This window comes from Homo sapiens, chromosome 7, assembly GCF_000001405.40.
Source record: "Homo sapiens chromosome 7, GRCh38.p14 Primary Assembly".
Classification (NCBI taxonomy): Eukaryota; Metazoa; Chordata; class Mammalia; order Primates; family Hominidae; genus Homo; species Homo sapiens.
The window spans coordinates 112966154-112983859 of NC_000007.14; the positions used below are offsets into that span (position 1 = coordinate 112966154).

At 34.9% G+C, this 17706-nt stretch overlaps 1 long non-coding RNA gene across 1 annotated transcript in view; it reads right to left on the reverse strand.

Moving 5' to 3' along the window:
* HRAT17 (heart tissue-associated transcript 17) overlaps window positions 1–17706 on the reverse strand; it is a 41009-nt gene that overhangs the window by 11519 nt on the left and 11784 nt on the right. The window contains exons 3-4 of the long non-coding RNA NR_110162.1: window positions 13893–14011; window positions 7452–7519 (exon numbers count right to left, since the gene is read on the reverse strand). This is a non-coding gene — a long non-coding RNA (heart tissue-associated transcript 17). The remainder of the gene's footprint in view (window positions 1–7451; window positions 7520–13892; window positions 14012–17706) is intronic.

Genomic DNA, 17706 nt, shown 5'->3' on the forward strand with positions numbered 1-17706 from the left:
TTACAATGAAAACGAGTCTCAGACCAAATTTGCTGCACATACGAAGATTTCATAGCAATGTTTATTGAAAAAAAGTCATAAAACCTGTTCTGCAAACTGTATCATTTTAGTCACTCTAACAGAAACTTGCATACAAACATCAATAGAGACAAATGTATGTTTCAGTATCAAATACAGCTAAGCTTTTAACAGAGTCAGGTGACAAAAATCCTCCATCAGGCAGCCAAATAATTTACTTATAAGCTGGGGCTTTATTCAGAAGTGTTAGGACATTAGTTGCCTAGATACTAAGCTATTCATTCAAAGGTGGGAAAATCTGTACATTATTTCTAACCAATGCATGCATCTGAGCATCATTCATTTCACCAGTGAAAATCACTTTTAACATCTAAAGCCTTTGGTGTTGACCAGAGATAAAATATCGTACTTGAAAGCCTGGTGTAGCAGCCTCTGGATTGCAGGTTTGGGTCAATGCTAACTAACTGCCCCTGAAGTAGATCTTCCTGATTAGTATACTTCAAATGATAATTACCTAGGGCAAGATTAAACTGAAACTAATCTATCATATTGTCTATACTGCAGTATTTTAGAGTGAATTATAGACAATGTAAAGCAATTTATTTGAAATGTTAAAATAGCATTAATTTTTGTTTCATTTTTAATTTAGATAAATAAAATAATGAAAGTAAATACTGCCCTAAAATTTTGTCACCTAGGTAATGCATTGATATGTTAAATAAATAATTGAATGTGATAAGGAAAATCTATGTGGTATAGAAAGATACAAACTGCAAGGGGAAAGCTTTCGTTTTCTATCTCCTTCCAAATACCTTCACTTACAACCCCGGTACTTTTTGTCTAAGTAATCACAGGCACTTTTTTCCTTTCTTTCTTCCAGAAAAAGAAAAGATTCCTCTCTCTTTCTCTCTCACAAAATATTATATATAATATTTATATGTAATATAAATACACTCATACATATAGTTCCTCATCTGAAAATTCACTTAAGAATTTTATATTTTAGAATTATATCCTTATTAGCATATATAAATCCCCCTCATTCTTTATAAATGACTCCATATTCCATTATATGATTGTAGCTTAATATTTTAAACCAATCTTCCACAGAGATTCTAGCACATATATCTTGTTGCACTTTTGCAAACATTCCACTGGGTAAATGCCTAGCAGAGAAATTTCTGGCCAAAAAGTATGTGGTTTTAAAATTTGGATCGATATTGCCAAATACCCTCCTGAAAGCTTAAATCAATTTGTACCTCTACAACCAGTATGTAAGAGTGTCCTCGTCTCAAATCTTTACCAGCATTGGATATCGTTAGACTTCTACATTTTTGTCAATCTTATTTGTAAAATTTTTTAGATTTGTATTTCTTAAATTGTTAACTTGAGATTGAAAATTTTACTTGCTAATTGGCAATTTGTATTTCTTGTCTATTGAAACACTCAAGCATATCTTTACCATTGTCCACTCTGATTTTTTTCATCTTTTCCTTACTGATTCCTATGTATGATTTCTTTGTAAATTAATGAAATTAATCTTTTTTTGCATGTTAAAAATATCTTTTTCTGCTGGGCGCGGTGGCTCACGCCTGTAATCCCAGCACTTTGGGAGGCCGAGACGGGCAGATCACAAGGTCAGGAGATCGAGACCATCCTGGCTAACACGGTGAAACCCCGTCTCTACTAAAAAAAATACAAAAAAATTAGCCAGGGGTGGTGGCAGGTGCCTGTAGTCCCAGCTACGTGGGAGGCTGAGGCAGGAGAATGGCGTAAACCTGGGAGGTGGAGCTTGCAGTGAGCCGAGATTGCGCCACTGCACTCCAGCCTGGGTGACACAGCAAGACTCCGTCTCAAAAAAAAAAAAAATTTCTTTTCTTGTGTGTTGTTTGACTCTGTTTATGGTTATAATTTTAGTTTTCATTAAACAGAAGTTTTTCCACATTGATTTGAAACACAACGTTGACATAAAGGTAATATCTATATGTATTTTGGTCTATTTCATGACTTTAATAATCTGTTCTTCTCAAGTACCAAACTGTTTAATTACTGAAGCTACATGGCATCTTAAGAGCTAGTCGGGCTAGTCACTTTCACTCTTCAATTTTAGAATTTTCTTAATATCCTTACATGTTTATTTTTCTAGATTATTCTTATATAATTTTGTCTAGTTGAAAGAGAAATCCTTTTGGTATTTTAATTGTTACTGCATTTAAATTATTGAATAATTTAGGGGAGAAATGACATCTTTACACTTTTATCTTCATAGTGTAGAAGTACATAGTGTGTATTATGATTTATTTAAGTCTTTTAAAAAAAATTCCTTAGTATAGTTTGCAAGTTTTAGACATATGGATTATGTATATTTCCTATAAGTTTATAGGTTACGGGTATTTTATATTTTAATTTTTCTTACAAATGGGATTATTTCTCCCATTAGATTTTCTATATGGCTACTGATTAAATATTGGAAAGCTATTTATATTTAATGTTAATTACGTAACCTACGACTTTTTAAATATTCTTATTATTTCTAATAGTTTTCAGTTAACATTAAACACACACACACAGACACACACACACTATTTTTAGCAGAAATAAAGAACCAGAAAGGTTATTTAAAAGGCTTTGACTAAAAGAAGTACTCTGAATTGTCCTAATTGGAAATGGTCAGTAGAGACATGAACATATGTGTTATGTACTGAATCTCCACAAAATTCAGTGCCAAAAGGGTAAAGTATTTTGCAAAAATTTATTTCCACCTCAAGCAGAATGGACATCCATACTAAATACATATATGTTATGTAGTCAATGACCGTATTAAATAAAACAGAAAAAAAAAAACGGTGGTTATTTAAAGCATTGTTACTGTGGTTGAACTCTTTGTCTGAGAGATCCAGGATTTATACCTGTGATTGAAACACTGCAATTTTGTGAACAGTTTGGGGAAAAGGTAATAGGTTAACCAGTTCTTCAGACTTTCTGACATTTCAAGCTGTAAGTCTGACAACATAATCTAATTGGGCTATTAGCCTTATTCTAGGTTTTCGATTGAGCTGTTTTTTGACCTCTTTGCTTCTATCATGAGCAAAGACTGGGAAGAAAACAAAAAGTGAGCAGAAACTGCAAGTACTAGTTGATAGCTGAAAAGAGGGCTGAGACAGCTCCTTCAATCTCCACCAAATAGGTCTATAATGAGAACAGCAATTTTCAGAAGTGAAGGGACTGAGCCCAAGGTTGCTGTGTTAGGAGTGATGCACAGGGAGCCTGGGGTACAAGTGGGGTCTAGGAAGTGAGCCCAAGTCCCTGACAGCCAGAAATAACCTTAGTAAGGATGATTTCCCACCACAATACAGAAATACTGTAATTTGAAATAAATTTTTTATTGAAAATTCTCTCATAGGATTTCTGAGTTGTGTTGCTTATTTCCTTCCCAAATGATTGTTCCCTATTTTAGACTTGACCTAACGTAAGATATAAAATAGTTTCAGATTGGTTTCAGCTAACAGCTCATTCCAAATGATGGGTTTTTAAATGTAATTACCTTTTTCCATTTCTCCCCACTCCTAAACTCATCCTATATATTTGTGAGTAACTTAAAGGAATGTTATTTAATATTTGTGACTCTGCAAAATAATTTTACAAATAAATGATTTCTCTAGGTCTAGATCAATAGGTTCTTTACACATAAAATGTTTACAGACATGAATTAAACAAAATAAATTTGTTAAGAATAGCACACCAAGGCTAAAAATAAAACAAAATGAAATATTAGTGTACATGTGCAAGTACACTATACATATACAAAATAAACTCTAGTTATTTATAAAATTTGGAAGAAATAGACTGCTTATCCTGTAACATGGAGAAAGAAAATACACTTTGCATGATATTCTTATCTAAGACTTACGATACAGAGGATTTATTTATTTATTTATTTATTTTTTGACAGGGCCTTGCTCTGTTGCCTTGGCTGGAGTGCAGTGGCATGATCATGGCTCACTGCAGCCTCAAACTCAGGGGAACATATTTTTAAATAAGTTGTTTATTTTAGAAGTTTTCTAATATTCAGGAATTAGGTAAATTAATTTAGAAAGTTATTTGGAGAGTTGGGATTATAGATAGAGTTTTTTAAAATATAAATTCCATACCATTATTATGATTAGAATGTAAACTCTGGAAAGACATTTTTGGTTTTACTGTTTTGGCCACAGAATATAGAGTAGTTCCTAGAACAATTCTTGATGCATAACAGGCATTTGCATATAAATACATCAGTAATATTTGAGAATACATACATAAGTATGACTTTATCTGTGTGCACTTAACCTGATTCAAAGCAAAGTAGCATTTAATGTGTAGATTTTACATAAAATTAAACTCTCAGATCTTATTGTCAATTTTGTTCTTTACAGCAAATGAATTTTAACTACTTTAATCATTCTTTTATTTATAAATTAAAAGCTTTAGTATATTGTTATTAATTCAATGTAGTCATTATAATTTTCTCATTGGCTAAATATTCACAGAACACTTTCAGAATTAAAAAAAAAGACAAAGATGATGGTAATGGCTAACATGTACATGCTCCATTTATTCTATGTTGTGTATTTTTCTAAGCATTTACATGTGTTAATTCTAATCTTCTGTTATGGGATGCAACATGTCCATTAAAAAATATAGACACTCCACAATTTTCCTTGCAGCTATAAATGCCATTGTTCCTGTCCTGGCCAATGACATGTAATCAGAAGTCATTAGACTAAGAATCCAGAAAAGGCACAGACTCAGCTAGTGGACAGTGTCTGTAAGTACAGCAGCCCTCATAAGGACCTAAGGAAGGAACCCCATACTAAGGGTGATGGGGTCTAAAGATAAGCAATCTGGTACTGTCTACATGAGAAAAAATAACTCCTGTATAAACCACAGCAATCATGTTTTTGTTACATGCAAAAGAACTCTAAATTCATAACTGGTTTAGCTGATAATAGGAACATTTTCATCCATCCTTTCATTTCATAAATATGTATTGAACACTTGCTATGAGCCAGGTACTGTTCTAGGTAGTTGGGATATATCACCACACAAAACAGATAAATATCTGCTCTCAAGAAGCTTATATTGTAGAGATGGTGGGTCAACAATAAAGAAACTAATTATTTAGTTTATTAGAAGATGATGTGTTATGAGAAAGAGATGACAGAGCAGGATAAGGGAGATCAATAGTGCCAGAGAGAGGATAAAGTTGCCATTTTAAATCAGGCGGTCATGTAGCCCCATTGAAGAGATGATATTGAATACAGACTTGAAAGAGGTAAAGGATAATTGCAGATGAATGACACAACCAATGTGTATGTCTTAAGTGGCCAAGTGGCTGATATATTTGAAGAAGAACAAGGAGGCCTATGTGTTTAGGTGGAGTGAGACAGGGAAAGAGACCAGAGAGGTAATGCAGGGGATGGGATGGAGGAGTAGACCATGCAGAGCCTTGTAGGCCACTGTAAGGATCTTTGCTTTTACTCCGAAATAGGGAGCCACTATAGAGTTTTGAGCAGAAGAGAACAAATCAATGTTTGAAAATGATCTCTTTTGTTTCTGTGTTGACTACAGGGAAGAAAGGATAAAAACAAAGCAGTTTTTGGGAGGTAATTATATTAATTCAGGGTGTAGTAATTCATGAGGGTTGATACAGTTTTGCTCTGTGTCCCCACACAAATCTCACCATCAATTGTAATCCCCATAATCCCCATGTGTCAAGGGCAATTGAATCATGGTGGCGGTTCCCCTCATGCTTTTCTCATGATAATGAGTGAGTCTCGCAAGATCTGATGGTTTTATAAGCATCTGGCATTTCTCCTGCTTGCACTTCTCCTTCCTGCCTCCTTGTGAAGAAAGAGCCTTGCTCCCCCTTTGCCTTCTGCCATGATCGTAAATTTCCTGAGGGTTCCCCAGCCATGCTGAACTGTGAGTCAATGAAACCTGTTTCCTTTTTAAGTTACCCAGTCTTGGGTATGTCTTTATTAGCAGCTTGAGAACGGACTAATACAAGGATCTAGACCAGTGGTAGCACTCGGGGTAGGGAGGGAGGAGTATTCAGATTATGGATATATTTTGATGGCAGAGCCATCAGGATTTCCTAAGAGGTTTGAATGTGGGCTGTGAGAGAAAGAAGATCAAGTATGGCTTCTGGGGAAATGATGTAGGGCGTTTTTAAAAGAACTTATCTTTATAGCGCTTACAGCCAATATATTATAAAAGCTTGCTACCTTATTTGAAGCCCCAGAAAATAATGTCTCTCTGAGTCATTAAAAAATTCTAAAGATTAGAAAGTCAAAGTTAAACAACAACAACAAAAATTTCAGAAGACTTCTCAATTAATGATGACTGTGTATCTACACTTCAGGCTCCAAACAAGCTGCTTAGTTTGGACAATGTCAAGTTTTTGCAAAAATCTTCCACTTCAACAAGAGTAGATTTGACTGTCTGTGAATAATGGTTATAGGAGTTGCCTAAGGACCTTATTTTTGTCGAGTTGTAGTTTTCACAAAGGCTTATAATATTAGACATGTACAGATAAAATTAGTGTAACCCACTGAGATTTAGAGGTAGTGTACCGAAGGCTAGCACAAGATTATCTCAGAACTAGAAAAATAAGGTTAAATTTTAAGAGTTAAATTACTAAAACCTTCATGTAATTTATGAAATTATCAAATCTATGTATATTTTATTCATCAAATTTGGAAGAATAAGGCCTAGAAATATGTTTGAAATATGATTAAATGTGAAAGGAACTAGAATATAATTAATGATGTTAACATATATATGAAGACAGACTGGTTTACAAAAGAGGGAAAGGCTACAGGAGTTTGGAGAAGGGGAACATGGGTAAGAATTTTCAAGTGTTTACTTTCACATTCTGCTTACTCTGACCAGAATACATTCAAAGTCTTACAACTGCTTGCACTGGAGAACAGCTTCTGACTAGCTTGAGGTGTAAGAACTAGTTTATCTAAAATATTCCTAGCCCACTCACATGTTTCAACTAAAGAAAGACTTTACTTAGTGCCCTTGAGGAAGAAGAAGATACATGTCTTTTTGGATATTGTAGACTGTGGTGGTTAATTTTATGTGTCAACTTGACTGGGCTAAGGGATGCCCAGATAGCTGGTAAATATTATTTCTGGGCATGTCAAATGAGGGTCTTTATGGACCCTTAACATTTGAATTGGTAGACTGAGTAAAGAAGATTTCCTTCCCCAATGTGGGTGAGCCTCATTCAATTCACTGAGGGACTGAATAGAACAAAAAGGCAGAGGAAGAATAAATTTGCTCCCTCTTCTTGAGCTGGAGCATCTATATTCTCCAGGCTTTGGAAACTGATGGTCTTGTTTATCAGGGCTTTGGACTTACAGTGAAATATACCACTGACTTACCTGGTTCTCCATCCTGCAGATGGCAGACTGTGGGACTTGTCGCCCTCCATAATCGAGATAACAAATTCCTATAATAATAGGATATATTTGTATCATATAAATGTTTATATATTTATAAGATAGTGTGTGTGTGTGTGTGTGTGTGTGTGTATATATATATATATATATATATATATATATATGTTCTGTTTCTCTGAAGAACTCTGACTAATACAAAAGATATTAAAGGTTTCATAGGCTTCTTGTTTCCCAACTCTGGTCCTAAAATAGGATTAAGCTGCATTTGTTCTTTCTAACGACAGCTTGATCTGATAATAGATAAGATGTTAATGACCCTATTGAACCATTCTCTGATTTTCTGAATCGTGCTTTTCTTGGTTTCTTCCTGATTCCTTAGAGGATATGTTGTGAAATCAATTCATAGCTATTTGTAGTTTGGCCAAACCAGAAGTATGAATGCTTTGAAAACAAATTCATAATTATTTGATGAATTTTCTTCCCAAGATTTTTTTCACCTCACCCTTGAAATGGTGAAAGCTTCTTTATAAAGGAGCAATACTGTGTATTTACAACCTTTCCTCCTGTCTCGGCTGAAGTATTTTGCTTCCTGTCTAGGTCTTACTGCTCTGCCTATGTTCCTAATCTTAACACTGATTTATCTTTTCGTTAAATGTTCATGTGGCATCTATTTTGTACCAGCAACTTTGCCAGACTTTGAAAATATAAAGGTAAAAGATGACATTATGCTTGCACTTAAGAATCTGACAAACTGAAAGGAGATATAAATGTATGTGAGATAAACTTCAAGAAAAGATACTAATGTGTAGAAAGTAGTATGAATGAAGACCTAAAGGAACACAGATAGTGCAATGAATGATTCAAATCTGGTTGTTAATGATAGCTCTATATTGGACTTTGAGTTGATCTTGAAAAATGATTAAGAATCTGTAAAATGCAAAGGAAAACCCAGGGCATTTCAGGTAGCTAGATATAATAATGGGCAGGGAAGGGTTAACAGAAAATGAGACTGGAGTGGTAATATTTTTCTATTGTAAGAAAATTAGAATTTTTTCCTAATTAAAAGAAATTATAGACATAAAATATTTCAATGAAAAATACAGAAGAATATTTCAACTTTATTTACTATTTTTAGAATCTGTAGTTTTACTCTTAGGTGGTTTCTGAAATAATGGGAATTTAAAAAAATAACTGAGCTACTAAAAACACAGAGAGTTTATTTGTAATCACTGAAAGTATCTTGTCAGTAATGTGAGATCAGAAATATTTATCTGTTTTCAAATATGTAGCATTGTTTTATCAAAAGTTTAAATTAATGATATTACTAAGAAATGACATTTCTGAATATCATAATTTATTCTCTGGGAGCACTGAATTAGGAGAATGCAGTAATAGATTAAATCTGTTCTTTTGTGCAACTATGAGGATACATTAGTTGGTATAGAGAAAGAAACAATTTTACGTATCTGTTTAAATGTATTTTTTAATCTGTTTTAAAATGAAAGGACATGTCTTCTTAAATAACAAGAAGTAGACCTATAAGTGAGCTAAAGCCTCCTATGGCTTTAAAGGGAAAATGCAATGTGAGCCCAAGTGTGCTGTGGGAATTTGGATTTAAATAAGTTTTGGTTACAAAAAGGGAGAAGAATAGGTATGAAAAAGAAATATGGTCAGAAGAGGAAATTTTTCTGCTGATTTGAAAAACTCTGTCACACAGAAGTTATTCTGGGAAATGCAGGACCTATACAACGATGGTCTCTTTCTGTCAAATTCCATAAGAAAGGAAAAGTTAGAACTCTGAAGAAATGAGTTAACCCTCTGGGAAATTTCTTTACTAGCTAAGTTAAAGGTAAGCTGAGATCATAGATAAGTATTAAAATGAGAAAGGGTACAGTAACATTTTTAACTCCAACAGTTGAGGAACTCTGAAAAAAACTTGAGAGAAAAAACCCTCTGTTTAAATCTGTAAGGAACAGAAGAATTAAGATTCATAATTGTTACAGGTTAATGAAGATGCTCTCTTATTTTACCCAAATATTTGTGGTCTTTTAAACTTTGCTCAAAGTTACCTAATCTTTAAAATATATCATTTTCATATTATCATTTGCTACAAATTTTATAATATAAAAGTACATGATTATTTATTTAGGACAGTTTATAACATTCTAAAATATTTTTAAATTTTATTTTGTATAGTTGAATTCTGGCGAGGTTGCATATTTTTTCAATCAGCTTTTTTGTGACCTGTTGATTCATTCAAGTTATTTCTCAACTGTCTATTGTGGTTTTTATGTCTTTTTGTTTTGTTTTGTTTTGTTTTTACTGATTTGATAAACAGATTAGTAGGAATGGGGAAACTTTGTTATTATTCCTGCTGAAATATCCTAATATGAATACATGTTTTAGAAGACGGTGTGGTGATTCCTCAAGGATCTAGAACCAGAAATACCATTTGACCCAGCAATCCCATTACTGGGCACATACCCAAAGGATTATAAATCATTATACTATAAAGACACCTGCACACATATATTTATTGTGGCACTATTCACAGTAGCAAAGACTTGGAACCAACCCAAATGTCCATCAACGATAGACTGGATTTAGAAAATGTGGCACCATGGAATACTATGCAGCCATAAAAAACAATGAGTTCATGTCTTTTGCAGGGACATGGATGAAGCTGGAAACCATCATTTTCAGCAAACTATCACGAGATGAGAAAATGAAACACCGCATGTTCTCACTCATAAGTGGGAGTTGAATGATGAGAACACATGGACCCAGGGAGGGGAATATCACACACTGGGACCTGTCGGGGGGTTGGGGGCTAGGGGAGGGATAACATTAGGAGAAATACCTAATGTAGGTGATAGGTTGATGGGTGCAGCAAACCACCAAGGTACGTGTATACCTGTGTACCAAAACTGCACACTCTGCACACATAACCCAGAACTTAAAGTATAATAAAGAAAATAACATAATTGAGTATAAATAAATGTTATATTTATTTATATATGATATACATGTATATCATATATTATATATGATATACATGTATATCATATATTATATATGATATATATTTATATATTTGAGCATAAGTAAATGCTATAGTTTCATCACATAGTAACTGTGCCCATGGAAAGTCAGACTGCTTGGATGTGCAGGTCACAGTCCAAGCACTCCCATTCATTGGCTGGCAATTACAGAAATTTCAGGTTTATAATTAAGAGGATTAGGAATGATAGTAAAAGGAGTTAAAATACATATTAAATAATACAAAGAAATTAAGGGAAAATAACCCCTAGAGAGCTTTCTTTGCAATTGAAAATCTGTATAGTGGCAACTAAAGTTACAGCATGAAAAGTCAATTAACTTAAAACTATATTAATAATCTCTGTGTGTAATAACCTAAAATAAGAATATTAGATTCCCAGGAAAATTAAACAAGTTTCTAAGATTTCTTATATCATTATGACCGATTTAAATAAGTCAATTCTATTATTATTATTACTTACAATATGTTCTTCGAAAATGAAGCTCATTTTTCAAATCTAATTTCTGAGGATAGTGTCTAGAATCAAAGAGATGAAATGTTGTGCTTCACAACCCATTCTGCAACTTGCTAAAATTTCAGATCAAATTCTAAAAAACCTATGTAAACAGATACTTTCTATTTACATTGCCAGATTTTCCCCTCTGTTTAAAAATAACAGATCGGTCATGCTTGAAGGTTGCATCCCGTTTTAGGTGTCAAAGAAATAAAGTTAGATACCGCGGAGCGTTTTAGAGTCCACGTAAGCATATCTTTCTGTCTCACTGATAAGATCCAGTCCCTCCTCTGCATAGTTCTGGTGTTTCTTTTTATCTGTCACGCTGTTGTGTAGACAGCCTGTGGCAGATGTATTCCATAAATGTTAAGGTACATTGGGTTCAGGATTGCTTCTGACATCAAGTGCATAGATAGAGCTTTATCGTTTCCAAATATGGGCTGATCTCCAGCCAAGAAAATCTATGATTCTAGGACATACTGACATAATGAAAACTCAGTTAAGTTCCCATAGAGTGTAGCTTGTTTGGCTCTGACCTTTGGAGGGCAGAAGGGTTTATGTTAAATATTTGGTTGCATTGGGTTGGTGGACAGTCTATCTTTATTTTGACCTTTCTGTCTCTAGCTCTCTATTTTTCAAGCAGAAGACATAATCCTTCCCCTCAGCTAGAAAAGTGGCCCAGAACATTCCATAGCAATTAGTGGCCCCTATTGATAGTTAGACTTTTGCAACAAAAGCATGTGCCTTCCTTGGTTGTACAATTTCTTATTTGTTCTTTAAAAGTAAATTTCCAGGAATAAATCCAGGAACTACCTGTGACTCTCTCTTCCCTCTCTCCAGTTCCTTTTCATAGCTAGAATGGTCCTTGCAAAGAGTAATAATTACCTGTGCTTCCCACCTCTAGGTCACTTCAAATGTATACTTTATCATGTCTGTTTCATATCTCCTAAAGAATCTAGCCACAGTGAAATTCCACCTCAATCTGTAGTATCAAGAAAGTTCAAACATATACTCTTTCCTAGTTTACTACCTAACAAATTCGTATCACACAAGGAAGAAAAAAATTCTTTATAACACATAAACATAAGTTATTCGACTCTTCTATTTGCTGGGTCTTTTCCTAGTAAATAAAAAGTGGGGACTACTTTCCATATTCTCAGAGGCATCATTTTAATATGTTTTTCCTACAATATACATTTTCCTTAGACCAAGTTGTATATTGCCATGTATTATTTTAAAACCAGGATAAATCGAAGTTTTAGATTGCTTAGCTACTACTTACTGCAGGATGTTAGAGCAAATGAAAAACTGAAAATAATTCAAGAGATGATCCTTATGTTGGTAATTGAGTTGGTACAAACTACTATAATGTTAAAAGAAACAGAAAAAGCTAATTTAAGAAACGACCATTTCCTTTATGCCTTGTGAGCAGCAGGTTAAAGCTCAACGGATTTTTTTTAACATAATGGGGTACTGGGGAACCTTGTTATTAATGCCTCACTGAAAAACATTTATCCAAGGTGTAAACAATCGACAAAACTTGAAATGTCTACCTGCCAAACATCAGGGCTTCAAGGTCTTTAAGCACTTTCTGTGCAGCAGGGGGTTGTATTTATTATTTGAAAGGATGACCTGTTAATGGGATCCAGTGGTATTGGAATCTGACATATAACCTAGAGATAAAATTGGATGAATTGGATAATTTTTTGAAATGAATACCAGGGTAGGAAAAAAGATGTTTTTCAACATTATTAAATAATGCCGATATTTTTCTGTGTATCTAGGGGGATTCTCCTTGCTGTATGTTATTAATGACTCCTGAAAACAGATAATGAAATTGACTTTAAATATTGTTCATGTGGATGCTCACATCTAGAAGGGGTGTGTGGTGTGTCGTGTGTGTGTGTGTGTGTCTGTGTGTGTGTGTGTTTAAACTAGAATCTAATTTCCATCTCCTATGGGCTTTTAAAGGCTGTCTCCATAGCGATGACCAATGAGAGGAGAGGATTTAGCAGGTTTCTTTCTCAGTATATGTGGCACAGTCATCTCTTTTTATGTCCTTCTATTTGTTCCCTATATGCCATTACTGGCTGCCTCTATGGCAACAGCCAATGAGCTCTTGCACATACATCACTGCACCCTCTGTATATGCTCCTCTGTGTGTGCCCTCATGCACTCAGTGGTATCATAAAGCATCTGAGGAGTTGTACGTGCCCAGTGAGTTGGTTTTGTGCCCCTGGAACCTCCTCTTCCTTCCATGCCCTCAGGATAGCATGGATCATAATCACCTTAAAACTTGTACCTGCTTGAATTGTCCCTCCCTGTTCAGTACACATTAATCTTCTCTGACCTAGGTTCCATGGATATAATGTGTTCATTATAGAAGATGAAAGATGAAAGCTTGTTGGCTGCGTAGCTTTGGGAGAACCTCAACTTGTAAAATATGAAGTCCCGGTATGGGATAGATATTTAAGTCTAGCAGAACTTTCTTATAAAAGGATACATTCTAGTCAACATTTTGATATTTCATACTACTTCTTGGTAGGATTTAAAACACTAGATTTGCATTTTATTGTTTTATAAACAATTATCATGTAAGTGATTTTTCTGCATGTGGTATTTATTTATTTTTCCTAGGGATAAAAGCAAACATTAAACATAAAATCCGCCCTCAAGAAGCCTATTTTCGCAAACAATCATCTTCCATACCCACTTTGATGAGATAATCATCTAATGAAAACAAATTGATGGTAATCAAATTGATGGTATACATTAAAAGAGGTAAAAATTAAAGACAAAAGAAGTATTGGTAAGTAGTTCAGAAATGTGTACATTTAAAACAAAAATATGAGATTAAGAGAAAACTAACCTGGTATTTAGATGTTTTTGTTGTTTTGCTTATGTTTAACTTTTAGACTTTCTCATAGAGACATTGTAACTAAAATCCACACTTCTGTAATATTGCGCTTGTAATTTCCATTTCAAACCCTAAAGCAAAATTTAATTTAATTCAATTTGCAGTTTGGAGCACAGTGTAGACAATTTAAACTTAACTATATCTAATTATTTTCACCATTTTGTGTTTTAAAATTAACAACAAATCTTGCAATAGCATATATTCTAATATGTTCCTTTTCAATTGGTGATAAATGGCAGCAGAAATCCTTGTAAGGAAAGGATCCAAAGAAAACATTCTTGTGAGCTATATTGATTGTCACTCATTGTAAGAAAAAGCAAACACTTTGTCTTCACAAATTGGGTCCTCAGGCCTACAGGAGGATTCCTCTTGAATGGGGGTTGTTATTACTCCAAGAGACTGGGGCTAGGGATGGCATAGACAAAGGAAAGCTGAAAAACTCATATTCAAGACTAAATCTTAGAGATCAGAAGTGATTCCTTCAATGACTACTCAGAAGTCAGCTACCACAGATCAGGGAACATAGTCATAACAACATCATAAAACTGCTTAAATTTTGTAATTTCCCCATGCATTTTGGTTTTGCCATCCCCTTAAAATCAAAAGTCCTGTGTGTTTGTCTTTGGGGACAGCAAGAAAGCCTGAAGTTGCAGAGACTATCCCTCTTTGCTGCTATATTAGTGGTGAGAAGATCTTTGAGGATGAGAGAGGGGTGGAAGCACTGTGGACATTACTGAGGTTAATGTCAAACAACAAGGCCAGCACAGAAGCCAATCTGGGTTATAGGCACACTGAGTATATCTTACTAACCACACAGCATCATGACCCCCCGATGCATTCAATTGGGATGATGTTATGTGCCATTTAAATCTTTATCACTAACTCTTTATCACATGCCATGAGACTCAATCACTGAAATCTTAGTCTATTCATTTATGCAGCCAACAGACACATGAAAAAATGCTCATCATCACTGGCCATCAGAGAAATGCAAATCAAAACCACAATGAGATATCATCTCACACCAGTTAGAATGGCGATCATTAAAAAGTCAGGAAACAACAGGTGCTGGAGAGGATGTGGAGAAATAGCAACACTTTTACACTGTTGGTGGGACTGTAAACTAATTCAACCATTGTGGAAGACAGTGTGGCGATTCCTCAGGGATCTAGAACTAGAAATACCATTTGACCCAGCCATCCCATTACTGGGTATATACCCAAAGGAATATAAATCACACTGCTATAAAGACACATGCACACATATGTTTATTGTGGCACTACTCACAATAGCAAAGACTTGGAGCCAATCCAAATGTCCAACAATGATAGACTGGATTAAGAAAATGTGGCACATATACACCATAGAACACTAGCAGTTATAAAAAAGGATGAGTTCATGTCCTTTGTAGGGACGTGGAAGAAGCTGGAAACCATCATTCTCAGCAAACTATTGCAAGGACAAAAAACCAAACACCGCATGTTCTCACTCATAGGTGGGAATAGAACAATGAGAACACTTGGACACAGGAAGGGGAACATCACACACCGGGGCCTGTTGTGGGGTGGGGGGAGGGGGAGGGATAGCATTAGGAGATATACCTAATGTAAATGACGAGTTAATGGGTGCAGCACACCAACATGGCACATGTATACATATGTAACAAACCTGCACGTTGTGCACATGTACCTTAGAACTTCAAGTACAATAAAAAATATATATATATATAAAGAACTGAGTAGATCTTACAATTTTCAAAGACCCACTTGGATATACTCTTCAAATAATTTTTGAAATCTGTCATAACCAAATAAAACGTGCAAATGAAAACCAATAAAAAGAAATCTTGGTCTATTTTATGAAGAGGTTGGTTCACCCTAAACACTGTCTTCAGACATTCCATTTATTGTGAATTATTTTTCAACCCAGGCAGATTATTTTTCTGTTCCCTAGATAATGCTAAAAATAGCAGTATTATTCCATCTTAAGTAGTTGTTAAGTAATGCTTAGCAATTGAGGTTTGGAGAATTTCTGATGCTTTTTAAAAGCAACTTCATACTCCTAACCCATAGCTTTCTTTCAGCAATTGCTCACATACCTCCCAATTTTTCCTATCTGATTTTCTTTTCCTCCAACTGCAATATCAAGTTACCATTAGCACTCATTCTTTGGTTTTCTCTTTGCCAAGTGACATTACATGGTAATTGTCTAGTATCAGTTTTTCTTCCTCCACTGCCGCCTCCTTACCCCATTTTATCTGCAGGCATTAGGTTCTATTTCACTTTTATGTTGAATATTAAACTTTCAGGTAAAATTAGTGATTTTTCTAGTGTTAAAAATTGTTATTTTCTCATTGAATGGTGTTTATCATCTGTCCCCATTTAGTCCTATTTCAGTCTCTAAGTACAGTTGAACCTAAAGTTATGCAAGACCAGAAATCTTTTCAAGTTTGCACTCTCCTTGCTATAGTTATACAAACCAGTGGAAAGTAATTTTCATTAGTTAATACAATGGTAGACTAAAATTCATTTGGTTAACAGGAAATGAAGTTTCTCTGTTCCTCTTTTCCCTCCAGTTTTTACACTGATAATTTAATCTCATTGATTCTTAAGTAAATTTTTTTGTGCATTATTCTTATGAAATCATTATTCTTGTTATTATTATAAAACCTTTATGTATGTTTAGGCTGTGGGAGGTGGTGGGGAAGTCATAGGGGGTGGAGGATAGGGTGGAAGAGGGATGCTTCGACTGGTTTGTTTAGATCATTATATATAAATCAACTGTAGTACTAATACTTGCTTCAATATTTGAAGTAAAAAAGAAGAAAGGAGAAGTAAGAAAAGGTAAAAGCAACAAGGTAAAAGAAAAAAATCTTTTCTTTTTTCTTTCTTACTGGGTGCTTTTTTAGGTAGTCCACAGAATTTTTGGTATCCACCACCTTCTTTTCTGGCCTTTCTTCCTTTATGATGCCTGGAATCCTTTTCCATAGTTCCCAGAGTTGCATGCTCTCTGCTGTACCAAATCCTGTTCTGTTCAGCATTTTGGTCTCTGTTGCCAATCAGAAGGTTTCAAATGGGGCTGGGCATGGTAGCTCACGCCTGTAATCCCAGCACTTTCGGGGGCTGAGGCAGGTGGATCACCTGAGGTCAGGAGTTCAAGACCAGCCTGGCCAACATGATGAAACCCTGCCTCTACTAAAAATACAAAAAATTAGCTGGGTGTGGTGATGGGCGCCTGTAATCTCCTCCAACTCAGGCTACTCAGGAGGCTGAGGCAGGAGAATTGCTTGAACCCAGGAGGTGGAGGTTGCAGTGAGCCAAAATCACGCCACTGCACTCCAGCCTGGGCAACAAGAGTGAAACTCCATCTCAAACAAACAAACAAACAACAACAACAGAAAAAAGAAAAGAAGGTTACAAACAGTCTGACTTTTCTCTCCTCAGAGAAGCTAATTTCAGCTGGCTGTTATAAGGACATGAAATTAAACTAACATTTACTAATATGTGTATAGGGGATAGCACTTTACCCTTTCCAGAAGTATTTGCATTTTAAGAAAGATGTAAACCAAAGGATAATCTTTTTGGTAGAATTTTATGGGGTGTAACGACTGAAGTACAAATAATAATAATAATAATTCAGGAAGTATTTTACTTGGGCCAGAGCCCTGTTTGGGAATCTGGATTCACAGTCTGTTCATTCTGTCCACAACTTCCCTCACTCACTCTTTTGGATGCATGGATTGTCAAAAAATTCCATCTACCTGTAC